This window comes from Homo sapiens, chromosome 19 (assembly GCF_000001405.40).
Source record: "Homo sapiens chromosome 19, GRCh38.p14 Primary Assembly".
Classification (NCBI taxonomy): domain Eukaryota; kingdom Metazoa; phylum Chordata; class Mammalia; order Primates; family Hominidae; genus Homo; species Homo sapiens.
In genome coordinates, this window is record NC_000019.10 from 23,738,685 (window position 1) to 23,764,585 (window position 25,901).

The window sequence follows — 25,901 nt, forward strand, 5'->3', positions numbered from 1 at the left end:
CTTTGGGAGGCCGAGGCTGGTGGATCACGAGGTCAGGAGTTCGAGACCATCCTGGCTAACACAGTGAAACCTTGTCTCTACTAAAAATACAAAAAATTAGTTGAGTGTGGTGGTGGGTTCCTGTAGTCCCAGCTGCTCAGGAGGCTGAGGCAGGAGAATGGCATGAACCCGGGAGGCGGAGGTTGCAGTGAGCCGAGATCGTGCCACTGCACTCCAGCCTGGGCAACAGAGCAAGACTCTGTTTCAAAAAAATAAAAATAAAAAAAAAATTAAAAAAATAAAAATTTAAAATCAAACTATCATATAATATAGCAATTTCAATAATGGATACATATCTCAAAATAATTAAATCAGAATGAAGAAATATTTGCAGAAATAATCTGCAAGAAATATTTGCAGAATGAAGAAATATTTGTAACATTCTTCACAATTGCCAAAATACAGAATTAACACTTCAACATCTAATGAGTACATAAAGACAACGTGGTATATATACACAATGGAATACTATTCATCTTTAAAATAAAAAAATTTATTATTTTCAATTACATAGATTAACCAAATTATTTCACTTACATGATTCTAGAAAAATTAATCTAACTGAAGTGGAGAATAAAATGGTGACCACCAGATGCCAACATATTTGGAAAAAAGAGGGGTTTAGAAAGATGTCAGTCAAATACATAATTACAGTTGAATAGGAGAAATAAGTTCAAAAAAGCTTTTGTACTGCATGGTGCCTATAGTTCATAACAATGTATTTGTATTTCTGAAAAATGCTAAAACATTGTCATGTGCTCTTACCACAAAAATGTTAACTATGTTAGGTAAAGCATTAATTACCTAGAATGAAGCATTTGACAATGTGTATATACTTCAAAATGTCATGCTTCACAGAATAAATGCACAATTTATATATTACAGACGGTATGAAAGACACTAAAAGGGCAGCTGTTTCTTATGGTCTCATGACTGGCCACTCTGTGAACACAGTAAACAAGTTTGCACGCAAAATAATAGAAAATGTTTTTATCTAAAAGCTGCCATGATCTTCGAATGTTTTCCAGAGAATATGACCAAGAAGTTGGCTAGAGTTAGGTGACTAAATGTAAAAACTGTAGACTGAACTTCACCCACTAAAAAAACATATAAAACTGAGAAAATTTCTTCAAATTGTAATATGAATATGGAAAAGAAATATTACTCCAGGTTTCAAAATCACAGAGGTCATTTTACTATTTTGCAATGTTTAATGTTCACACTTACAAATAGAAGATTTTGCATGGAAACGTACATTGTGGCATAAGTATACTGTAGAAAATTAAATTAAAAGTTTAATTTCTAAGATATATTTTCAAGCAAATTTTATATTTGCCACACTTTGTGTAAGAATTTAATAAGATTATTCTTTAACAAACAGAGAAAAACAACGCTAAATGATTTAATCCTTTCATCTGTGGACACTGTATGCTTTTTGTTTTAATTTAACTGATCAGAAAATTATATTGATATGCAAAATCTCCAGTTAAAACCAATCTTGCAGTGCATTAAAAATACCGATTTCTCATCAAAACCTACAATATACCATGTGAAATGACATGGTGTGAAGAGAACAGTGAGAAAACTGTAGCCACAGCACAGCAAAAAGGAGGGCTGTGATGCATACACAGCTGAAATACACATAATAAGACAAACAAAACTAAGACAATTAGGAAATAAAAGAAGCACAATTTTTTAATTCAGCAAAACTGAGCTTTGCAGCCTGAAAATAAATGTCCTCTCCACATAAAAAATCAATGTTATTTCTCACAATTGATATGTTCCATCTCTGTCTTGAAGTTACAAACTAACTCCAACAGGAATATTTATGGCTTATTATAAAGCATCTGTGACACAGAAAGCACTGTCATGTTTGTTTGCTATATTTATATATAAAAACATCCTCATGATTTAGGAAGCCCCCCTAGTACTCACCTAAATAAATGGGCTCAATCAATATTTACTTATTTTCATTATAAAAACTGAAAGGAACAAAAACTAAAAAAAGTAGGCTTATACAGCGTTCTCCAATTAAAAGAACAAAATAAAATATTCTAACAACATAAAATATAACAATACACTAATTTTGAAATTAAATCTAAATTTTTTGCACTAATTTTATAAAAATTATTTTTATAATCTCTGACCAGCTCACATAGCATCTTATATAAAATAAGAGAAAAAAATGTAAGACACAAGAAAATTATGGGTCTAGCCTAAGAATCAGGCAAGTAAAAACAAAAATTTGCATAGGGAGATTCTGAATTATAAGCCATACAATTTTACAGTAATCAATTCAATACAAAGCAGAGAGTATGGATTTGTTTTCAGCATTTTTAAGTTTTTTTAGTTTTGCAGTCATCATCTAATTAAAATAATTTGATTTGTTTCAATATTGCTCTTCTGAAACTAGGTAGAAACTCATACTCGCAAAGAAGGCATTTATTTACTCCATAATTTTTTTAAACCCAAGCTTTATCTTTAAAGTAATATATGTATATATTTAACTCTGTGTAAATCAAAACTAATAGTCTGTATGTGCTTGCAGGCAGAGAGGCAACATGTTTGAAGAAAAATATATAACAATTTTTTAATGTTAATTCAGGTCTCAGAAATGTATGCATTTTGTTTATATTGTTTTCTTATGACCATAAAAGAGACCCTGTAGCCAACAACAATTTAATGTACATTTGAAAACAACTAAAAGTGGCTGGGTGTGGTGGCTCCCACCTGTAATCCCAGCACTTTGGGAGGCCGAGGGGGCTAATCATGGGGTCAGGAGTTCAAGACAAACCTGGCCAACGTAGTGAAACTGTTTCTACTAAAAATACAAAAATTAGCTGAGTGTGGTGGCATGCGCCTGTAGTCCCAACTACTCAGGAGGCTGAGGCGGAAGAATCACTTGAACCCAGTAGGCGGAGGTTGCAGTGAGCTGAGACCACGCCAATGCACCCAGGCGTGCACAGCCTGGGTGACATAGTGAGACTCGTCTCAAAAAAAAACCGAAAAGTGCAGAATTAGTTTATAATACAAACAAATACAAACAATAAATGCTGCAGGTAATGAATATTTCATTTACCCATATGTAATTATTACATATTATATACCTGTATCAAAATATGCCATATATGCCATATTTACACATACTATGTACCCACAAAAATTAAGAAAAATAAGTTTAAATAAGAAAAAATGAGTAATAATTCAACCTACAGGAATAATATTCTCTGACTTATTTGCAATTTAAAGCCACTGGCAAAACAGATTACTAGAAATGTTAGTCCATTATCTTATTAAATAGTGTATAGTTACCATCATTTACCTATACCCTTGAGTAAGATGGGATAAGTTAAATTTAATGGCATAATAATGCTTCATTGAATGCACGATGGTCTTAACATGTTTTTTAAAAAGCCTGATTAATAAGTTCACACATTATCTAAAAATTTTAAAATGTACTACATTTTATTACATAAAAGTACAATTGGCCAGGCATGGTGACTCGCGCCTGTAATCCCAGCACTTTGGGAGGCCGAGGTGGGTGGATCACCCGAGGTCGGGAGTTTGAGACCAGCCTGACCAACATAGAGAAACCCCATCTCTATTAAAAATACAAAATTAGCCGGGCATGGTGGCACATGCCTGTAATCCCAGCTACTCGGGAGGCTGAGGCAGGAGAATCCCTTGAACCTGGGAGGTGGAGGTTTTGGTGAGCCAAGATCACACCATTGCACTCCAGCCTGGGCAACAAGAGCAAAACTCTGTCTCAAAAAAAAAAAAAGTACAATTAGTAAAATGATATACCAGAAAATTTTTTTTCTCAATATAACACAGGATATTTATCTGAACTCCTACCTCATGCATCAGTCAATATTATAAATTAACCAGAAAGAGCCTCTCCACTTACATTTTCATCTTGCATCTTACATTTTAATGTCCTTAACTCTTTCACTAAAAAAGGTCGTAAATAATGCACACCTAATAACAAAGAATCTCTCATCTTTGATGCAGCAACAATTAAGTCACATGCTTTCACATGTGAATACAATAGGAATGAAGAGCATAACTTGAGTTAAATGACATTATTCACTTTTCATAAAACCTAATTTTTTTCAAAGGATAGTTTGAATGTAGTTACAACTCTGCAAAAATTTTCTACTTCTTATAATGTTATATACAAATAATTCATTTACCAACTTTAGTTTTAGATTCTTTTCTATACTCAGCAATCTGATTTAGTGTAATGCCTGAAGTGTCAGTGCCTTAACTATTTCTACTGTGAATTATCTGATATTTACATAGAATTTTGGATTAAATATTTTTTCATATTTACTGCATCTGCAAAAATAGATTTTAGTATGAACCCTCTAGTGTTTTCTAAGCTGTCGTTTTTGAAAAAATGTTTTCCCAAATTTATTACATTTGCAGGGTTTTTCTCCAATATAAATTTCCTTATGTTGCACAAAGTTTAAGCAACTGCTCCATGGTTTTCCTCTAGCACAAAATGTGTACAATGAGATCTGTGATACAAGTAAAGGTACCACAACCCTCCTTATGTTCATAATGTGTGTCTTCAAAATGAATACTCTTCACTTTAGAGGCTTATATTTTCTGAAAGATTTTTGACAGTAATTGCATGTATAATGCTTTTATTAAGTATGAAATCTCTGATGTTGAGTAAGATGTGAACAGATATTAATGGCTTTTTCACATTCTGTATATTTGAAATTTTTTTCTAGTACAAATGCTTTCCTGTGCAATAAGGTGTGAGCATTGGTTAAAAGTTTTGCCACATTCTTCACACTTGTAGGTTTTTTTTTAGTATGAATTATCTTATGCACAATCAAGTGTGACAACTTTTAAAGGTTTTGTTACATTCTTCACATTTCTAAGATTTCTCACCAGCATAATTTCTTTTATGTTTAGAAAACTTTGAAGTGTTTTCAAAATCACTGTTACATCTTTTAGGTTTGTAGAGTTTCTCACCAGTATGAATTTTCTTATGTCCAGTAAGGTTTGAGGACTGGTTAAAAGCTTTGCCACATTTTTCACATTGGTAGGGTTTCTCTCCAGTATGAATTCTCTTATGTCTAGTAAGGTGTGAGGACTGGTTAAAGGCTTTACCACATTCTTCACATTGGTAGGGTTTCTCTCCAGTATGAATTACCTTATGTGTAGCAAGATGTGAGGAATGGTTAAAGGCTTTGCCACATTCTTCACATGTGTAGGGTTTCTCTCCAGTATGAATTTTCTTATGTTCAGTAAGTTTTGAGGATCGATAGAAAGCTTTGCCACATTCTTCACATTTGTAGGATTTCTCTCCAGTATGAATTCTCTTATGTGTAGTAAGGATTGAGGACTGGTTAAAAGCTTTGCCACATTCTTCACATTTGTAGGGTTTCTCTCCAGTATGAATTCTTTTATGTGTAGTAAGGTTTGAGAACTGGTTAAAGGCTTTCCCACATTCTTCACATTTGTATGGTTTCTCTTCAGTATGAATATTCTTATGTTCAGTAAGGTTTGAGGATTGGTTAGAAGCTTTGCCACATTTTTCACACTGGTAGGGTTTTTCTCCAGTATGAATGCTCTTATGTCTAGTAAGGTGTGAGGACTTGTTAAAAGCTTTGCCACATTCTTCACATTTGTAGGGTTTCTCTCCAGTATGAATTATCTTATGTGTAGTAAGGTGTGAGGACTGCCTAAAGGCTTTGCCACATTCTTCACATCTGTAGGGCTTCTCTCCAGTATGAATTATCTTATGTCTGGTAAGGTGTGAGGACTGGTTAAAGGCTTTGCCACATTCTTCACATTTGTAGGGTTTCTCTCCAGTATGAATTATCTTATGTCTGGTAAGGTGTGAGGACTGGTTGAAAGCTTTGCCACATTCCTTATATTCATTGAGTTTCTCTCTGGTATGAATTATCTTATGTGTAGTAAGGGTTAAGGACTGATTAAAGGCTTTGTCACATTCTTCACGTTTGTAGGGATTCTCTCCAGTATGAATTATTGTATGTGTTGTAATGTGTGACGACAGGTTAAAGGCTTTGCTACATTCTTCACGTTTGTAGAGTTTGTCTCTAGTATAAATTATCTTATGTGTAGTAAGGTTTGTGAACTGGTTACAGGCTTTGCCACATTCTTCACATATGTACGATTTCTCTCCAATATGAATTCTTTTATGTTTAGTAAAGATTGAGGATCCATTAAAGGCTTTTCCACAGTCTTCACATTTGTAGAAATTTACTCTAGTACAAATTATTTTATGTTGAGTTAGGTTTGAAAATATGCAAAATGATTTGCCAAATTCTTTATATTTAAAAGGTTTTTTTCTGGTGTGTCTTACCTTATGTCCATTTAAATTTGAAAATTTATGAAAGATTTTCATATATTTATCACATTGAAATATTTTGCTCTGGGTAGTTGGCAAACATTGGTTAAGTCCATTATAACCTCCTTTTTGCACTTTGCACTCATCCACACTTTTACTTAACTGTAAATTCTCATGTTCACATTTTCCATATCTTCTTGGTGTCACTTTTTGGAAAGAATCTTTTATGTTCTGCTCTGGTGAAAAGTCTTGGGCAAAATGAGAACAAATAACTGAAAGAAATAAAAATAACAAATGACTCCACTTGATAAGACTCTAAATATACTTTACAAATCCAACCTATACAATTATACAAATTACATAAGCAAGATGGTATAGCAAAATACCAAAGGCCCTAATTTTTTTTTTTTTTTTTTCCTGAGACGGAGTTTCAATCTGTCACTTGGGCTGGACTGCGGTAGTGTGATCTCAGCTCACTGCAACTGCTACCTCCCAGGTTCAAGCAACTCTCCTGCCTCAGGCTCCTGAGTAGCTAGGATTACAGGCATGTGCCACCATGCCCAGCTAATATTTGTATTTTTAGTAGAAACGGGGTTTCACCATATTGGCCAGGCTGGTCTCAAATTCCTGACCTCGTGATCTGCCCACCTCAGCCTCCCAAAATGCTGGGATTACAGGCATGAGCCACCGTGCTCGGCCCAAAGGCCCTAATTTCTTAATAGAAATATAAATGTAACAAAAACATATTGACCAAAATACATTTGTGGAAAATTTATAAATTAGTTAAGTGTGTGCAATGACCCAGGTGAGCAGAATGCAAAGAGCCACATAGAAAGAAAATAAAAGCCTGTTACATTTACCCAACATAGATCTTTCTGCTCCCCAATATAACATAATGCCTTTAAAAGTAAATTGCCAACTTCAATTGTTTTGCATACAGCAGCACACCTGAGAGTGGATAATTTATAAAGAAAAAAGGTTGGCAGGGTGCGGTGGCTCATGCCTGTAATCACAGCACTTTGGGAGGCCAAGGCAGGCAAATCAACTGAGGTCAGGAGTTTGAGACCAGCCTGGCCAACATGGTGAAACCCTGTCTCTACTTAAAATACAAAATTAGCCAGGCATGGTGGTGCATGCCTGTAATCCCAGCTACTCGGGAGGCTGAGGCAGGAGAATCACTTGAATCTGGGAGACGGAGGTTGCAGTGAGCCAAGATTGTGCCACTGCAGTCCAGCCTAGGTGACAGAGTGAGACTATGTCTCAAAAACAAAAAAAAAAAAAGAAAAAGGAGAAAGTTTATTTGGTACACAGTTTGGCAGACTGTACAAGAAGTGCATGCCAGCATCGACTTCTGGTGAGGGTCTCACAAAGCTTACAATCATGGTGAAACACAAAGAGTAATTATGTGAGTACTATGTGAACATATCACATGGTAAGGGACAGAGCAAGTGTGAAATAAAGAAGCCAGGTAATTTTAATGAGCCAGCTCTCATTTAAATTAACAGAGGGTAAAGTTTTTGATTACCAAGAGGGTGATGCCAAGCTATTCATGAGAAATTTGCCCCCATGACTAGAACACCTCCCACCAGGTTCTGCATCCAACATTGAGGACTGCGTTGCAGCATGATGTTTGGGGAACGTGAACATTCAGGTTGTACCATAGATAAACTAGGCTTAACAGACATGTAAACTACTTTCCAGTTAAAAGCAAGAAAACACACAATATTCTTATTTGCACCTGGTGTATTCTGTTAGGATACACAACAAGTCTTATTAAATTTAGGAATACCAGGTGGGTGCTGTGGCTCATGCCTATAATTTCAACACTTTGGGAGACCAAGATGGGAGGATCTCTTGGGGCCAGAAGTTTGAGACCAGCCTAGGCAACACAGTAAGACTCCATCCCTACAAATAATCAAAAAATTAGCCAGGCATGGTAGTGCATCTCTGTAGTTCCAGCTAGTCAGGAGGCTGAGGTGAAAGGAGCACTTGAGCCCTGAAGGTTGAAGCTGCAGTCACTGCACTCCAGCCTGGGTAACAGAAAGAGATCCTGTCTCAAAACAACAACAACAACAAATAAATGTAAGAAAATAAAAATTGTACACTAAATGTTTTCTGACTAAGACTGAATGAAACTGGAAATTGAGAACACAAGTAAAACTGGCACATCCAAATATACATGAAAATAACACATACTCTTCAACATAGTTTTACTCAAGGGTCAAAAAATTTAATTTTTCAAAGATGTCTGTATAACTTACAGTGATGAATATATTCAATATAATTTCTATAAAAATCCCCAAAGTGGCCGGGCGCGGTGGCTCAAGCCTGTAATCCCAGCACTTTGGGAGGCCGAGGCGGGCGTATCACGAGGTCAGGAGATCAAGACCATCCTGGCTAACACAGGGAAACCCCGTCTCTACTAAAAATACAAAAAAATTAGCCGGGCGTGGTGGCGGGCACCTGTAGTCCCAGCTACTCGGGAGGCTGAGGCAGGAGAATGGCATGAACCTGGGAGGCGGAGCTTGCACTGAGCCGAGATCGTGCCACTGCAGTCCAGCCTGGGCGAGAGAGCAAGACTCCGTCTCAAAAAAAAAAAAAAAAAAAAAATCCCCAAAGCACAAGTTTTACAAGAATATTGTTTAAAATTTTAAAATTTGATTATAAACTATAGCCAAACATTCATGAAAAAGAACAAAGAGGTGTTATACTTCTGGATTTTAAAAAATATTAATAGCTACAAAAACAAGGTGGTACTGACACAAAGACAGATAAACAGATTAAAAAACAGAATAGAGAGCCCAGAAATAAACTCCTCAGTATATGATTAAATAATCTTTTACAACTTTGCCATGAGCACACAATAGAGAAAAGACAATCTCTTCAAAAAATCATGTTGAAAACTGGACACCAACACTGATAAAGCTGGATTCTTTGAATCATATACAAAAAATATTTTAAATAAAATACTTAAACATATAAAAATAACTAATAAATCTCTTAGAAAAAAAGAGAAATGACATGACGTTGTTCTTGGCACCATTTTTTTTGATATGATATTAAATGCATGAGCATCAAAGAAAAAAGTAACTACACTACAAAATTTCCACACATCAAAAAAACATTAGAGTGACAATGCCTTGTAGAAAATAAGTAAAAATATTTGCAAATTATATGTGATAAGAGTTAATTGCAGGGAGCTAAAGGCCCGAGGGTCATGACCAACTCAGCATTCCACTGAAGGCTATATGATCAAACAGCAAACTGTTTATCATGAATGCAGGATGTGGGCAAACTCACATCTGTGCCTGCCACCAGAAGGTTTGCTGAGGGCAGTCACTCCCTGGTGCCATGCTCCTTGAGGTTATCTACTGGAACATCTGGAGACTACTGTTCAAAGAATGCAGTTGTGCAAGCCTGCACTAAGTAAAGCAGCTGACAGACAACCACCCCCTTCTCCCTATCTCCTTTACTCAATAAATACAAAGGGGTATAGAAGTTCACGGCCCTTATTCACTAGAAGCAAGGAGCCCCCTGACCCCTTCTTCCAAATACACTCTTTTGTCTTTGTCTTTATTCCCACGTTCATCCTCCTTTGTTCAGTCCAGCAAGGTCCATGGCAGTTAATATTGAGAATACATAAACAAGTCTTAAATGGACTAATAATTGAAATAAATTTTAATCAAAAAAATACAAAAATTGGAAAAAGCATTTGAAAAGACACAGGAAATTACATTTGTAGAGAAATGCATAAAAATCACGTGAAAAAAACTCAAACCAATTAGAATGGCCACTATCAATTTTTTTAAAACATTAAATCTGTTGATGATGAACTGAAAATCCGTTATTTGTTGGTGTAAAACAAGGATGCAGCCACTGTTTTAAAATGTTATGTTACCCAAATAATTAAAAATGGAATCATTAAATACAATAATTCAATTTGTAAATCTATATGCAAACTCTGCAATGCAGGAGCTAGAAGGCATATTTGAATATTGATGTTTACTGTACCAGTATTCACAAAAGCCAAAAGACTGAAGCAACCCTTTCTTGACTTACAAATACATCAAAAAATGTAACATATAAATACAATGGAATATTATTCAGCCTTAAAAAAAATCTTGTCACACTTTAAGACAAACTTCGAGAATTATTATGTCACCTGAAATAAGCCATTAACAAAATGATGGCTACTATATGATCCCATTTATAGGAGATATCTTAAGTAGTCACGCTCATAAAAACAGAAAGTAGAAGGATATTTGTCAAGGGCTGGAGAGAGGGTAAAATGTTCAGCTGTTACTTAATGGATATTGAGTTTTAGTTTTATTAGATGTAAAATTTTTAAAAGTCTTTTGTATAACAATGTGAATACACTTAACATGTCTGAAAAGTACAGCTTTTTTCTGAGACAGGGTCTCATTCTATCACGTAAGGTGGAGTGCAGTGGCACAATTATGGCTAAGTGTAGCCTCAAATTCCCAGACTCAAGTAATCCTCCTCCCTCAATCTTTCAAAGAGCTGGGACCACAGGTGCACACAACCATGCCTGGGTTAAAAAAAAAAAAAAAAAATTTGTAGAGTGGGAATCTCCATATGTTGCCCAGGCTGGTCTCAAACTTTTGGGATCAAGCAATCCTCCTGCCTTAAGATCCTCAAATTCTGGGATTACACATGTAAGCCACAACCTGGAATGTACACTTCAATAGATTTAAGACAATACATTTTATGTTATGTGTTTTTACAATTAATTTTTCTCAAAAAAAATCTGAAAAAATTCAGAATCATAAATCTTTTCATAAATTACCTTCAAATCACAAAAGTGTTTGTCTCACACAGAGCAAATACATATTCATCATTAAACACATGGTGAAAATAAAACTATTTCCATGACTACTCAATTAGACAAGATAAAACAATCACTGAAAATCAACTAAGAAAAAAAAAAAAGGGCCGGGCACCGTGGCTCACGCCTGTAATCTCAGCACTTTGGGAGGCCGAGGTGAGCGGATCACCTGAGGTCGGAAGTTCTAGACCAGCCTGGTCAACATTGTGAAACCCCATCTCTACTAAAAATACAAAAAATATCTGGGTGTGGTGACATGAGCCTGTAATCCCAGCTACTCGGTGGCTGAGGCTGGAGAACTGCTTGAACCCGGGAGGCAGAGGTTGCAGTTAGCCAAGATTGCGCCATTGCACTCCAGCCTGGGCGACAGAGTGAGACTCCAACTCAAAAAAAAAAAAAAAAAAAACCAAAAAACAACTAAGAAAGAATATATACAAGATAAGTCATAACCAAAGCTGTGGTTATATTTACAGATAAACACACAAACATATATACTCTCATTGTGATAGACATATGGCTGATGTACCTCTTAAGTAAACCCCACATTGACTTAAAGTGTACAAACAGAATTGCAAATTGTCTAAAATTATAATACATATGTAAAACTAAAAAGCACAAGAAACTAATATTAAGAAACCTACACTAAAAAAAACACACTAGTAGGCCAGGCACGGTGGCTCACACCTGTAATCCCAGCACTTAGGGAGACTGAGGTGGACAAATCACCTGAGGTCAGAAGTACGAGACCAGCCTGGCCAACATGGGGAAACCCCATCTCTACTAAAAGTACTAAAATTAGCCAGGCCTGGTGGCATGTGCCTGTAGTCCCAGCTACTCGGGAGGCTGAAGTGGTAGGTTCCCTTGAACATGGGAGCTGAAATCACTCCACTGCACTTCAGCCTGGGCAGCAAAGTGAGACCGCATCTCTAAAAAAAAAAAAAAACACCCAGGCGCAGTGGCTCACACCTGTAATCCCAGCACTTTGGGAGGCTGAGGTAGGTGGATCATCTGAGGTTGAAGGTTCGAGACCAGCCTGACCAAAATGGAGAAACCCTATCTCTACTAATAAAAGAAGTACAAAATTAACCAGGCATGGTGGCACATGCCTGTAATCTCTGCTACTCGGGAGGCTGAGGCAGGAGAATTGCTTGAACCTGGGAGGTGGAGGTTGCAGTGAGCCAAGACTGCGCCATTGCACTCCAGCCTGTGCAATAAGAGCAAAACTCCATCTCAAAAAAAAAAAAAAAAAAAAGATCTGGTTTGCAAAACGATGTACCATTAAGAATTTATCTAAATAGGCTGGGTGCGGTAGCTCACACATGTAATCCCAGCACTTTGGGTGGCTGAGGCAGGCGGATCACCTGAAGTTGGGAGTTCAAGGCCAGCCTGACCAACATGGTGAAACCCCGTCTCTACTAAAAATACAAAATTAGCTGGGCGTTTTGGCACATGGCTGTAATCCCAGCTACTCGGGAGGCTGAGGCAGCAGAATTGCTTGAACTCTGGAGGCGGAGGTTGCAGTGAGCCGAGATTGCGCCATTGTACTTTAGTCTGGCGACAGAGTGAGACTCCGTCTCAAAAAAAAAAAAAAAAGAAAACAAAAAAAATTCTATTCTCTAGATAACCGTAATATGTGACTGTGTTCACAGAAGGCAAGTATTTTGAATAACTGGCATGTGCTCCATGGCAGTAAAATTTCAAAGGAAATGGAGTGTAATCATAAACAGAAGATTCTAATGAGAAACTTTTAATCAATAAGCATTTAAAAGAAACTAGAGACAATTTTATTTATTTATTTATTTTTTTGAGATGGAGTCTTGCTCTGTCACCCAGGCTGGAGTGCAGTGGCACAATCTCGGCTCACTGCAACCTCTGCCTCCCGGGTTTATACCATTCTCTTGCCTCAGTCTCCTGAATAGCTGGGACTACAGGCGCCTGCCACCATGCCTGGCTAATTTTTTTTGTATTTTTAGTAGAGACGGGGTTCCACCATATTAGCCAGGATGGTCTCGATCTCCTGACCTCGTGATCCGCCCACCTTGGCCTCCCAGAGTGCTGGGATTACAGGCGTGAGCCACTGCGCCCGGCCTGAGGTTGGAAAATTGCTTCAGGCCAGGATTTCAAAACCAGCCTGGGTTATGTAGCAAGACCCAATCTCCAAATTAAGTGCCTTTAGGAGAGCTTTGAGATCCAGGGAGGGAGTTGTGAAACTGCTAATGCCCAATTCTGAGGAGTGCTATTTTTCAGAAGGCAGGTGGCAAACTACAGAACTCCTATTTTTCAGTATAGACCAGGAAATGGACTACCCAACTTGGTCTTACTGATCATTCTGAAGTTACTCTGTAATCATCTCAGACTTTTCCCAGCCACAGTCTGTAAGAGGTCACATACCCTTTCAGAGGCCTTGAGAAAGACACCCACTTATAGCCATGCAGCAGGCCTGCAGACCTTGGCCTTTACTGTGGTCCTTAAAGCAGTTCAATGACTCAGTTTCACATCCAAGCCACAGTTCACAGCCAGTTCTGCCTATGTTAAAGCCCACTGAGTGACCTGGAAAAATCCTCTCTGATACACAGTGAATGCCATACTCATCCACATTCTTAAATAAGACTCAACCATATACACAGACCTGACTGCAGAAACCTGCCCTAGTGACTGCCCTACAGGTCAAAGTCTTGAGAGAAATTCAGTCTGTCTAAAAAATAAAGTGTTAATTACAACTACCCAAGCCCCTTGTAACAAGCCAACTAAAGGTGGACCCTAGTGCAGACCCAGCAGCCTTATGACCAAGCTACATGCCCTCTCCACTACAAACCCAGAGGGCATCTCATTACCCTGGGGGCCCAACAAAAGACCTTTACCTTCTGAAAACAGGTTATAAAAACTTGAAGAGGCTTTTGCTTTTTCAAGTTTAAAGACACTAATACAAAACTATATTTTGCCTATCGTCAATGCTTCTCTTTTAACAAAGAACTGTTAGTACGTGGCAAAAGAATTAGTCAAAAAAATGAAAAAGAGCCATTGAAATTGAAGACAAGTAAGTAAAAAGTTGCTGGTTGCAGATCATATGATAGTATATGTGTATATATATAGAGTACATTAAATCCTGTCTAAACTAATAAATACACTCAGTAAATTAGCAAAATATTAAATTAACGTACAAGTTATGGTTCCATACACTTAAGCTATCGGATAAAATATTTAAAAAATCTTATTTACAGCCAGGCATGGTGGCTCATGCCTGTAATCCCAGCACTTTGGGAGGCTGAGGCAGGTGGATCATCTGAGGTCAAAAGTTCAAGACCAGCCTGGCCAACATACTGAAACCCCATCTATACTAAAAATACAAAAATTAGCCAGGCATGGTGGCATGTGCCTATAGTCCCAGCTACTTGGGAGGCTGAGGCAGGATAATTGCTTGAACCCGGGAGGCAGAGGTTGCAGTGAGCTGAGATCGCACCAGTGCACTCCAGCCTGGGCAACAGAGCAAGACTCTGTCTCAAAAAAAAATCTTATTTACAATAGCATTAAAATAAATTTCTGAGAAGAAATTTAATCAAAGAGGTAGAAAATCTTTACAATGAAAGATATATCAATGAGAGAAATTAGAAAAGACACAAATAAATTTAAAAATATTTCATGTCTATAGATTGAAAGAATAAATACTGTTAAAGTGCCATGTTGGCCAGGCACGGTGGCTCACACCTGTAATCCCAGCACTTTGGGAGGCTGAGGCAGGCAGATCATGAGGTCAAGAGATGGAGACCATCCTGGCCAACATGGTGAAACTCTGTCTCTACTAAAAATACAAAAATTAGCTGGGCCTGGTGGTGAGCACCTGTAGTTCCAGCTACTCGGAGGGACTGAGGCAGGATAATAGCTTGAACCTGGAAGGGAGAGGTTGCAGTGAGCCGAGATTGTGCCACTGCACTTCAGCCTGGAGAAAGAGCGAGACTTTGTCTCAAAAAAAAAAAAAAAAAGTGCCATGTTATTCAAAATGATCTATAGATTCAATAAACTCCCTATCAAAATTCCAGTGGCGTTTTACAGTAATGAAAAATACAAGTCTAAAATTTATATATGAAACTACAATAAACTTTGAATAGTGAAAGCAATCTTGAGAAAAAAAAAACAAAGCTGAACGACATCATACTTTATAATTTCAAACTATATTTGAAGACTATAGTAATACAAACAGGACGGAATATGCAGAAAAATGAACAAAAACCTACTACTCTCACACATTTCAGAGATGATGCAAAAAAAGAACTTAACAGAGTTTCTCAAAATTATGCAGATATTTGTGTGTCCCCCAAAACAATGGAAAAGCAGTCAGATTGTGCAGTCTCTTACATGCCATTAAGGAGACTTTGGCTCTCACTCTAAACTAGAAGGCAGATCACTGAAGGGAAAGCAGAGTCCTGAGAGAACTTAAAAGCGTAAGACAGAAGACTCCCTTATGTGAGAGCAAAATAGAAAAACTCGGCAGGGTGGCGTGGCTCATGCCTGTAATCGCAGCACTTTCAGAGGCCAAGGCGGGCAGATCACCTGAGGTTAGGAGTTCGAGACCAGCCTGGCCAACACATAGTGAAACCGTCTCTACTAAAAAAATACAAAAATTAGCTGGGCGTGGTGGCACACACCTGTAGTCCCAGTTACTTGGGAAGGTGAGACAGGAGAATCGCTTGAACCTGGAGATGGAGGTTGCAGTGAGCCCAGACTGTTCCACTGCACTCCAGCTTGGGTGACAGAGCGAGACTCCATCTCTCAAAAGAAAAAGAAAAGAAAAGAAAAACTCTGGCTTTCCAGAAACTATTTCCTTTGGAATACAGCTTCCCAAATCACATTATAAGCACTAGCTTTTTCTTTGACCTTTGAACCGCTCATCTATGTTATCTGTTGTATTCACTTTCACTCTCACCTACCTGGGGGTTCGGCCACCATCCTATGTCTCTTTCTAGTCCAAGGCTCTTTTTCTTGTTCCAGACAGGTGATCAGGTCTGGCTTAGAGACAACAATACCTGTTTTATTGAAAGTAAATAACATAAATCTTGCTTATATTGTCTAATCACCAACATGGCAATGTAGTCAGTAAAGAGGGTGAAATAGAATATTCTTGTAAATCAATCCCAAAATACTGATTTATAAAAGAAATTTCTAAATATTTAGAAAATATTTTAAATTTGTTAGTTCTTAATTTCACTGTCCAGTACAACAAATCAAAAACTGGTGTTGGCAATTAGATTTTAAAGTGTGAGCAATAATATTTTATGCCACTAAACTTCTGGAATTACCACTCTAATCTAGAGTGAAGAATACAGATTAGCTCAGGAATGCAGAAAGTTCAGGTCAAGATGAAATATCTTGAAGAAATTCTTTTCTACAGAGATGAATCCCTAAGATTTTTATAAAAACAGGGATCTGAAACTCACTTATGCAAAGCATAAATTACCTAAAAACATTATACAAAAAAGAAAAATGAAACCTTTAGGGTATAATAGGAATTGTATATTGAAGTTATCCTCACCCAAGAAGACCAGGTTTCTGTAGTTCTCTAACATCACATTCCTATATAAATTCTGCTGTATAGTGTCCAGGCATTGCCACTCCTCCAGAGAGAATTCTATGGCCACATCCCTAAATTTCAATGGTTCCTGAAAAACACACACACACACACACACACACACACACACACACACACATACACATTTAGAAAGTGGCCATGGAAAGAATTTATAATTTGATTCAAGGTAAAATAAGAAAGTGAAGAGAACTGGTTCTGACTTACAGAAATGACTGAAATTATCCAATAAAATAATTTTTTTTTACACAGGAACATTCTCTAATTTGTTCTCCAACCATGAGAAAAGAAAGCGGCATTAGATCTATAACACCAGACCTAAATAAATCGCCAGTCAGAATGGCGATTATCAAAAATTCAAGAAACAATACATGCTGGTGAGGCTGAGGAGAAATATGAATGCTTTTACACTGTTGGTGGGAATGTAAATTAGTTCAACCATTGTGGAAGACAGTGTGGTGATTCCTCAAGGATCTAGGAACAGAAATACCATTTGACCCAGTGATACCATTTCTGAGTATATACTCACAAGAATATAAATAATTCTACTATAAAGACACATATGTGGCTGGGCGCAGTGGCTCAACCTGTAATCCCAGCACTTTGGGAGGCTGAGGCGGGTGGATCATGAGGTCAGGAGATCGAGACCATCCTGGCTAACCTGGTGAAACCCCGTCTCTACTAAAAATACAAAAAATTAGCCGGGCATAGTGGTGGGCACCTGTAGTCCCAACTACTCGGGAGGCTGAGGCAGGAGAATGGCGTGAACCCAGGAGGCGGAGCTTGCAGTGAGCTGAGATGATGCCACTGCACTCCAGCCTGGGCGACAGAGCGACACTCTGTCCCCCCCCAAAAAAAGACACATATGTTATTGAATCACTATTTACAATAGCAAAGATATGGAACCAACCTAAATACCCATCAATGATAGAATGGATAAAGAAAATGTGGTACATACACAACCATGGAATACTATGCAGCCATAAAAAAGAATGAGATCATGTATTTTGCAGGGACCATGGATGCAGCTGAAAGCTATTATCCTCAGAAAACTAACACAGGAAGAGAAAACCAAACACTGCATGTTGTCACTCATTAGTAAGAGTTGAACAATGAGCACACATAAACACAAGGAGACAAACCATACACACCAGGGCCAGTCGGGGGGTGGAGGGACAAGGAGAGAAAGAGCATTAGGATAAATAGCTAATGCATGCCAGGTTTAAAACCTAGGTGATGGGTTGATAGGTGCAGCAAACCACCATGACACATGTACACATATGTCACAAACCTACACGTTCTGCACTTGTATCCCGAAACTTAAAGTAAAATAGAAAAAAAATATATTATAAAAGACTATACTTAGAAATAAATGATAATAAAAATTATACAAAAATTTATTTTTTTTTTGAGTTGGAGTCTCGCTCTGTCACCCAAGCTGGAGTGCCATGGCGTGATCTCGGGTCACTGCAACCTCTGTCTCGTGGGTTCACGCAATTCTCCGACCTCAGCCTCCAGAGTAGCTGGGATTACAGATGTCCGCCACCATGCCTGGCTAATGTTTGTATTTTTAGTAGAGATGGGCTTTCACCATGTTGGCCAGGCTGGTCTCTTTGCCAGGCTGGTCTCAAACTCCTCACCTCGTGATCCACTTACCTGAGCCTCCCAAAATGCTGGGATTACAGGTGTGAGCCACCTCACCTGGCTTATAAAAGTTATACAAGCTAAAAGTGCTGAGATACAACAAAAAGAAAAAGAAAAAAAATTATGTTACAGGGCACTGTGCCTGGGATAACACATTATGTAATTTAATTTTTATAACACCCTGGGAGCTGGTACTGTTTAATAATTCCCAGGATTTAGATGAAAAGCCCGGCATTTTTATTTCTTCTGTTTCTCTGTCATTGATTTTTTTTAAAAAGTATACACAATAAAAGCTAAATATAGACAGAGAGGAATGCGGAAAGAATTTAATGTATTTTAGAGAAATTTATATTGTGTCTGTTTACTTGTTTGTGACTTGTAGAGCAACTACTAGATCTGTAAGAATAGAAAACAAGTTGCTAGATAGAATGCAAGCACTAGTTTTAATAAAAAATTATAACCATAAAATATATACTTTATTTTTTTAATTTATCTGCTTTTGTGTTTCAGGAATTGTAAGCACCAGCCCTAGCAGCAGAATTCACCAGCCAAAACTCCGATCTCCAAAAATCAGTTCTATGAGGCAAGACTTAAGGGTAGGGCCAGACCTAAATAAGGCCTCCAAAAAGGTGAACCTGAGCAGAACTGGGGCAGGGAGTGGACTCTATATAGAATTCTGTTCTCTATGCCACTGGGGTATTTCCAGTTCTGTTTTTCCTAAACTTACCTTAAAAAAAAAATCCTTAAATCTCAGAGTTTGTATAATTTTAATCTTTCTTAGACCCTGCCCTATCAATTATATGACATATACTAATAAGCAATTTGAACACATTTATAAAGGTTTTCTAGGGTAATTTTATTAAAAGATAAATATGTATTAACAAGGTAAAAGAAATGGAAATAGAAATAATTCTTCTGTCTATAAATATCCCTTCAGGTGATGACATCGCAAGTCACAATTATATAAAGTGGCACAAATAGAGCCCAAATTTTCTGCACACATCTATTTATTGTACCAATTATATGATGCTTAATTTAACCATTTATCCAGTTGCTAGACTAAAAGCTCCTGGATTGTAGGGACCATGACTGCTTCATCTATTTTTCTAATGGCCATATGAAAAGAAAACAATTTAGCCGGGCGTGGTGGCAAATGTCTGTAATTACACCTACTCGGGAGGCTGTCTCGGCCTCCCAAAGTGCTGGAATTACACGCGCGAGCCACCGCGCCAGGCCTTTTGACTCTCATACATTTTTAATGAAAGGAAAGAGAGACTAGGAACGCCACGGACCAAAGCTCTTCCCATTCATGAACCCGGCACCCGTCAGGATTCGCCCCTGACGACCCTCCCGTGGTCCCTGCACAATCTGGGAGAGACCCGGCGCTGCGGATGCAGAGCCACCCAGAGAGAGCTGCAGGCCAGGACACAGTCACTGAGCAGGGAGGAGAAAGGACGCCCGGGGGGCTGGCTGTCAGCGCAGCCGCCATCTTATGGTCCAAGTGGACTGAGGCCGCCTGGGCGAGGAGAACTCAGGGCGCAAATTGTGGAGCTGACTGCGGCGAGGTCTGAGTCCCGCCACAGCCCCTTCCCCTCTCTCGGGATGTCGGACCCGACATTCTCACCATTTCTAGGTTTCCGGGGGACCTGGCGTCTTAGCTATGGATCGCCAATACCTGCAGGTCAGAGGGCCATAGAGGCTGGGCCTCTAGAAGAAGAGGACACAGAGCAGTGAAGACGAGACCCGGAGCTCGGGCTGAAGGGAGAGACAAAGGCCCCGCCAATCCCGGAAGCCGCCCTGTCTGCTCCAGCTGCATGCCTGATTGGACAGTTCCCAGCCCAGCGTCCCTGACTGGATAATGATTAAAACCCCACCCCTCAGGTCCTGAGTGACAGAAGATGTGATCAGATGCTCTGCTGAATGAAGACTAACAACGTAAGTTGCAGCGTTTTCAGACAGGGCTCCCTCCCTGAGCTAAGCCAGGCCCACCCAACAGGGTATTTGCCTTTAACCTTCTGTGTAAGGTCACATGCATTTCAAATAATATACTAGATAGCTATTCAAAAATAAAAATATATATAATAACAATTATTTTAATATTTCATCTTTTATGACCGTCCTGGTTTCTGGCAGCCATAGTCCCTACCCCGACAGCCCCCAGCCCAGATGGCATTCAAATCTTCCTGGATGGGCTTGATGCCCGTCACTCACGCGCTCTTTAGCACTGCGTTGTGTTGGTTACTCAGGCCTGGGAGAGGTGGTGGGGATTGTAGATCCAGGGTAGGAGCCACCTTACACCCAGAGTTCACCTGGCCACATGCCAGCAAGGAAGCCCATGAAGCACAGCCCTAGACACTGAGCCTCGGCACCTCCAGCTGCACTTTCTATTTATATATCAGGTTTTTTTTTTTTTTTTTTTGAGACGGAGTCTCGCTCTGTTGCCCAGGATGGAGTGCAGTGGCACAATCTCAGATCACAACAACCTCTGCCTCCTGGGTTCAAGTGATTCTCTTGCCTCAGCCTCCCGAGGAGCTGGGACTACAGGTGCGTGCCACCATGCCCGGCTAATTTTTGCATTTTTAGTAGAGACGGGGTTTCACTATGTTGGCCAGGCTGGTCTTGAACTCCTGACCTCGTGATTGGCCCGCCTCAGCCTCCCAAAGTGCTGGGGTTACAGGTGTGAGCCACCGCGCCCGGCCTATATATCAGGTTTTTAAAACCATAAATAAACAGACACAAAAGCAGCCACTTTGATTGAGGAGAAAGTGGGAGCCTAAAGCAGCTGACCCTCAAACAGCTTTGCCAAGCCTCAGGCCAGGCCAGGCCATCTCAACACTCCAAGGCTACATGATAGTTACAGAGGACGACAGTTCCCATAGGTACTTGTCAAGCACTGTGCTAGCTTCTCAGTCACAGAGTCTCAGAATTTCTCCTTGCCAATACCCTGTGAGGGGAGGCCCTAACTCACTAGAGCACAGGAGGTTCCTAAGCTCTTCCCAGGAAATGGTTAACAAAGTGTGGAGCTGGGGGAAAACCCAGTCAGAACAAATGACTTCCCAGGGTCTCCCTTGACTCCATCCCTATCTCCACATGGGGCCAGGAGGTGAAGCGAGCCCCCTAACCCCCTCCATTCCACTCTCTCCTCAAAGTGGCTGTTTTTGTGTTTTCTTATTTATGGGATTTCAAAAGCCTGATTTTTAATTTTGAGTAGTTTCAGGCTTGTATGGGTGTATTTGTATAGGCTTTATTAGAAGGAAGAGGGCTTAAGACAATAACATTTTTAAAATGTCTCAGTGGGGAATAGACTTCCATGTCATGAACGATGATGTTGACCTCCTTCTGCTGTCTTTGTGCAAAGTATAAATAGTGTGAGAATTGGCATGTGCTGGGTTGTGGTTTCAGTGTGGGAGGGCAGTTCCTTAAGATGGAAACCAAATCTCACCGAGCTGTAGCAGCCACACTCACCTTTTATCACATTCCCCACCATAGTCTTTCACTTTTCTTCTGTGCTTAAATTTCTTTCAACATATATATATATATATATATATTTTTTTTTTTTTAAGACAGAGTCTTGCTGTGTTGCCCAGGCTGGAGTGCAATGGTGCAGTCTCGGCTCACTGCAACCTCTGCCTCCCAGGTTCAAGCAATCCTCCTGCCTCAGCCTCCTGAATAATTGGGATTACAGATGCGTGCCACCACACTGGGCTAATTTTTGTATGTTTAGCAGAGTTGGGGTTTTACCATTTTGGGCAGGCTGGTCTCGAACTCCTGACCTCAGGTGATCTGCCCACCTCGGCCTCCCAAAATGCAGGGATTACAGGTGTAAGCTACCATGCCTGGCAAACATACATATTATTTTGATTATATATATAGGGTGTATAAATATATGTGTGTATATATATATACACATATATATAGGGTATATATGTGTATATATATATATGTTTGTGTGTGTGTATATATATATGTGTGTGTGTGTGTACACATAGAGGTCTCACTCTGTCATCCAGGCTGAAGTGTAGTGGCTGAATGATGGGTCACTGCAGCCTCAACCTCCAGTGATCCTTCTACCTCAGCCTCTTGAGTAGGTGAGACTATAGGCAGGCAACTCCACACAAGGCCAATTTTCTAAATTTTTGTAGAGACTGAGTCTCACTACATTGCCCAGACTGGTCTTGAACCCCTGGGCTTAAGCAATCATTCCACCATGGCTTTCCAAAGTGTTTGGATTACAGGTGTTAGCCATCAAACCCAGCCAACAATATTTTTTAAAGAACTGTTACAACCAAATTATGAGCTATGGTTGTGCCACTGCATTCCAGCCAGAGCACCAGAGTGAGACCTTGTCTCCAAAAACAAAACAAAACAGAAACACTTATGACCAAATTAAAATTCTAAGGTTGTGTCCTCTGTGTCCCCTTCTTGCCCTGTAAACTATCACTGTTAAATATAATGCGTATTGAGAAAACTGTTAGATATTATTAAGAAATTCCTATATATCTTCTAAGTGAGATAAGGTATTCTAATGTGACCCAATATTTCCTCACCCCTACCTCCAGGGTCTAAACTAGCAAATCAAATCAGGACATCCACAAAGGACAGTTGGCCATGTTCAATTAGAAAATTAAATATCCCCGTTAGTGAGAGTAATCCAGTGATTTTAAAAAAGAGAAGTCAAACTGAAATGCAGCGTAGTCACGGCACAATTACCCTGGAATAGCCACTTCACATGGAATGACTGAGGAGCCTTTCTAAGATGAACAAATTTGGGTAACGTAATTCTTTCTTTCTTTCTTTCTTTTTTTTTTTTTTTGAGATGGAGTCTTGCTCTATCGCCCAGGCTGGAGTGCAGTGGCATAATTTGGGCTCACTGCAACCTCTGCCTCCCGGGTGCAAGCAGTTCTCCTGCCTCAGCCTCCTGAGTAGCTGGGATTATAGGCGTGCGCCACCACGCCCGGTTAATTTTTGTATTTTTAGTAGAGACGGGGTTTCACCATGTTGGTCAGGCTGGTCTCGAACTCCTGACCTCGTGATCAGCCCACCTCAGCCTCCCAAAGTGCCGGGATTACAGGCGTGAGCCACCGTGCCCGGCCCGGTAACATAATTCTTTCTAAACCATTCTCAGCCTGGGCTGCCTCCCACCCCCGCCTTATTTCTAATGGCCATCCCACGATGTGGTCAGCAGTGTGGTACGGCATGGTGAGAGAGGCGCTCAGGGATGGGATGAAGGTCTTTCCCGCATTATGAAAATGATTAAAAAATGTCCAAATGGGCAGGGCGCGGTGGCTCATGCCCGTAATCCCAGCACTTTGGGAGGCTGAGGCGGGCGGAACACCTGGGATCTGGAGTTCGAGAGCAGCCTGGCCAACATGGTGAAACCTCATCTCTACTAAAAATACAAAAAGTACCAGGGCGTGGTGGCATGCGCCTGTAATCCCAGCTACTCGGGAGGCTGAGGCAAGAAAATCATTTGAACCTGGGAGGAGGAGGTTGCAGTGAGCCAAGATCGCACCACTGCACTTGAGCCAGGGCAATGAGGCGGAAACTCGGTCTCAAAAAAAAAAAAAAAAGTCCAAATGTTCTTTCTTACCCTTAAGTAGCAAATAAGATGCATTATACAAGACCCAGGTAAGGAAAAGAGCAAGTGCATTTCATGTCTCAGCTTACTTCTTAATTAGCTGTAATTCCCTGTGCATGTTACCTTACCTTTACTGTCCGTAAAATGCCCTACTGCCGAGCGGGGCGGGTGGTGGTATGGAGAGAATGCTGTTGCTTTATCCAATCAGTGGCGCTGGCGCGGGAACCGCCCAATCAGGGGCGCAGCCGGAGAGGAGGGCGTGGCTTCCGACATTCCGCGGGGTCTTTACCTCTTGCTCCCGCCAGAGTTTGGGATCGGTCTCTTCTGTTCCGCGTCCTCCACCTCGGTAGCCCCTGGTGACTCTGTTACAGCCTCTGTTGACCTATGATCTGCAGGGAGACGCACAGCCAGGACATCCTGGAACCTGGGAAAGGGTGAGTGTGCGGGGTTGGGCAACCCGAGAAGGGAGACCAGGCTGTGAAACCAGCAGAACCGGCCTCTCCACAGTCCGCTCCCAGGTCGCCGACCTGAGTCCCCGCTGGCGCAGCTCCGTCCCAGGCCCCTCTGGCCGCAAGATGGCGGCTGGGCCCACAGCCGGGACCCCAGCGTCCAGCCCCGTCCGTGCGGGGCCATGTCTGGAGCCCCCTGAGCAAGCTCTTCACGCAGCCTCGAGTATTTCCCAGGTTGTTCAGGGATGCCAGGCGGGTCATAAGAGCAGAATCCCGACCCGGTGTTTGCGTGGGAAGAACTGCAGCCTATGGGGCTCCCAGTGTCTTTTGTTAAACATTTTGTTTGAGACGGAGTCTTGCTCTGTCGCCCAGGCTGAAGTGCAGTGCGTGTTCACGGCAACCTCCGCCTCTCAGGCTCTGGTGATTCTCGTGCCTCCGCCTCCCGAGAAGCTGGGATTACAGACCTGCGCCACCCCGCCTGGCTAATTTTTGTATTTCTAGTAGAGAAGTGGTTTCGCCATGGCGGAAGGTGGTCTGGAACTCCTGGCCTCAAGTGATCCGCCAGCCTTGGCCCCCCAAAGTGCTAAGATTAGGAGGAGCATGAGGCACTGCGCCAAGCCTCTTCTCTTAAAAATTAAAGGGAGTCAGGGTTAAAACCTTAAAGAGGTTATTTGAGCCGTGATTGGTGAAATGGAAAGCACCCCAGCCATAGTATGTGGCCCACCTGAGAGACATAAAGCAAAGGGTTTTATAAAGGGCGTGTGAGAAGGCAAACCAAATGCAAGAATTGGTTAGTTATGTAGTCACCTTATTTGTATGATACAGGTGGAAATTTCCTGGTTATGTAATCAGAGGTTAATTGCAGGTTTATGATTGGTTAATAAAATTCAATTATGATTGAATTTTGTTTCCGCCTAAAATAGTAATCTATAAGATATAAACTCGAGTTAGGTTTTACATTTTTTACTTATGAACACAGGGCACTAGGGCCACTTCAGTCTAATTTCCTGCTTTTTAATTACTTTAACACTCCACAGGAGGAGGACTGGTTTTCCTCTGTGACTTCCTAATGTATGGCAAGCAGGACTTCTTCTAATCCACTACCCTCTTCCCCTAGCTTAACTAAGGCTTGCAGTAAAATTATAAATTTCCACTTTCTTTCCTACATTCTCAAATGTAGGAAATGAGGACAAACAACTTCCTCTCTCCAATTTACAACACTATCAACTATTTGTCCTTTATTGTGCATTTCAGACACAGTGTTTTAATTGTTAATCATGTTTTTACACTGCAGTGGATGGCAGGTTTTTAAAGATTTGTTTTCTGTTTGTAAACACTTTTTTATTGGAGACAGAGTTTCATTCTTGTTGCCCATGCTGGAGTGCAATGGCATGATCTCAGCTCACTGAAGCCTCTGCCTCCCAGGTTCAAGTGAT

At 40.2% G+C, this 25,901-nt stretch overlaps 2 protein-coding genes and 1 pseudogene across 15 annotated transcripts in view, besides 5 other annotated features; 1 reads left to right on the top strand and 2 right to left on the bottom strand.

The window, feature by feature from the left end:
- Window positions 1–510: 510 nt before the first annotated feature.
- ZNF681 (zinc finger protein 681) lies at window positions 511–20,207 on the bottom strand. Its single transcript, NM_138286.3, has 4 exons — window positions 20,063–20,207; window positions 16,741–16,867; window positions 16,139–16,234; window positions 511–6,639 (listed from the first exon to the last, which is right to left on the bottom strand). The coding sequence occupies exons 1-4, from the start codon at window positions 20,063–20,065 to the stop codon at window positions 4,928–4,930; spliced, it is 1,938 nt and encodes a 645-aa protein (NP_612143.2). The 5' UTR covers window positions 20,066–20,207; the 3' UTR covers window positions 511–4,927.
- Window positions 918–1,231, bottom strand: VN1R94P (vomeronasal 1 receptor 94 pseudogene; annotated as a pseudogene).
- RPSA2 (ribosomal protein SA 2) overlaps window positions 19,812–25,901 on the top strand; it is a 112,693-nt gene continuing 106,603 nt past the window's right edge. For 13 of the 14 annotated variants that reach the window (NR_170711.1, NR_170712.1, NR_170713.1 and 10 more), the window contains exon 1: window positions 24,320–24,450. The gene's annotated coding sequence lies outside the window, so the exon portion shown is untranslated. Of the gene's footprint in view, window positions 20,374–24,319; window positions 24,451–25,901 lie in introns of those variants that run through there. The other variant, NR_170714.1, reaches the window with a different exon arrangement.
- Window positions 19,887–20,405: an enhancer, noted in NCBI's record as "H3K27ac hESC enhancer chr19:23941373-23941891 (GRCh37/hg19 assembly coordinates)". NCBI's record gives its function as "activates a minimal SCP1, AML or CMV promoter by ChIP-STARR-seq in primed H9 embryonic stem cells {active_cell/tissue: H9 hESC(primed)}" and the evidence as "EXISTENCE:reporter gene assay evidence [ECO:0000049][PMID:30033119]".
- Window positions 23,400–24,040: an enhancer, noted in NCBI's record as "H3K4me1 hESC enhancer chr19:23944886-23945526 (GRCh37/hg19 assembly coordinates)". NCBI's record gives its function as "activates a minimal SCP1, AML or CMV promoter by ChIP-STARR-seq in naive H9 embryonic stem cells {active_cell/tissue: H9 hESC(naive)}" and the evidence as "EXISTENCE:reporter gene assay evidence [ECO:0000049][PMID:30033119]".
- Window positions 24,041–24,682: an enhancer, noted in NCBI's record as "NANOG-H3K27ac-H3K4me1 hESC enhancer chr19:23945527-23946168 (GRCh37/hg19 assembly coordinates)". NCBI's record gives its function as "activates a minimal SCP1, AML or CMV promoter by ChIP-STARR-seq in primed H9 embryonic stem cells {active_cell/tissue: H9 hESC(primed)}" and the evidence as "EXISTENCE:reporter gene assay evidence [ECO:0000049][PMID:30033119]".
- Window positions 24,041–25,030: a biological region, named in NCBI's record as "NANOG-H3K27ac-H3K4me1 hESC enhancer GRCh37_chr19:23945527-23946168".
- Window positions 24,581–25,030: an enhancer, noted in NCBI's record as "active region_14395". NCBI's record gives its function as "activates an Ori minimal core promoter by ATAC-STARR-seq in GM12878 lymphoblastoid cells {active_cell/tissue: GM12878}" and the evidence as "EXISTENCE:reporter gene assay evidence [ECO:0000049][PMID:35858748]".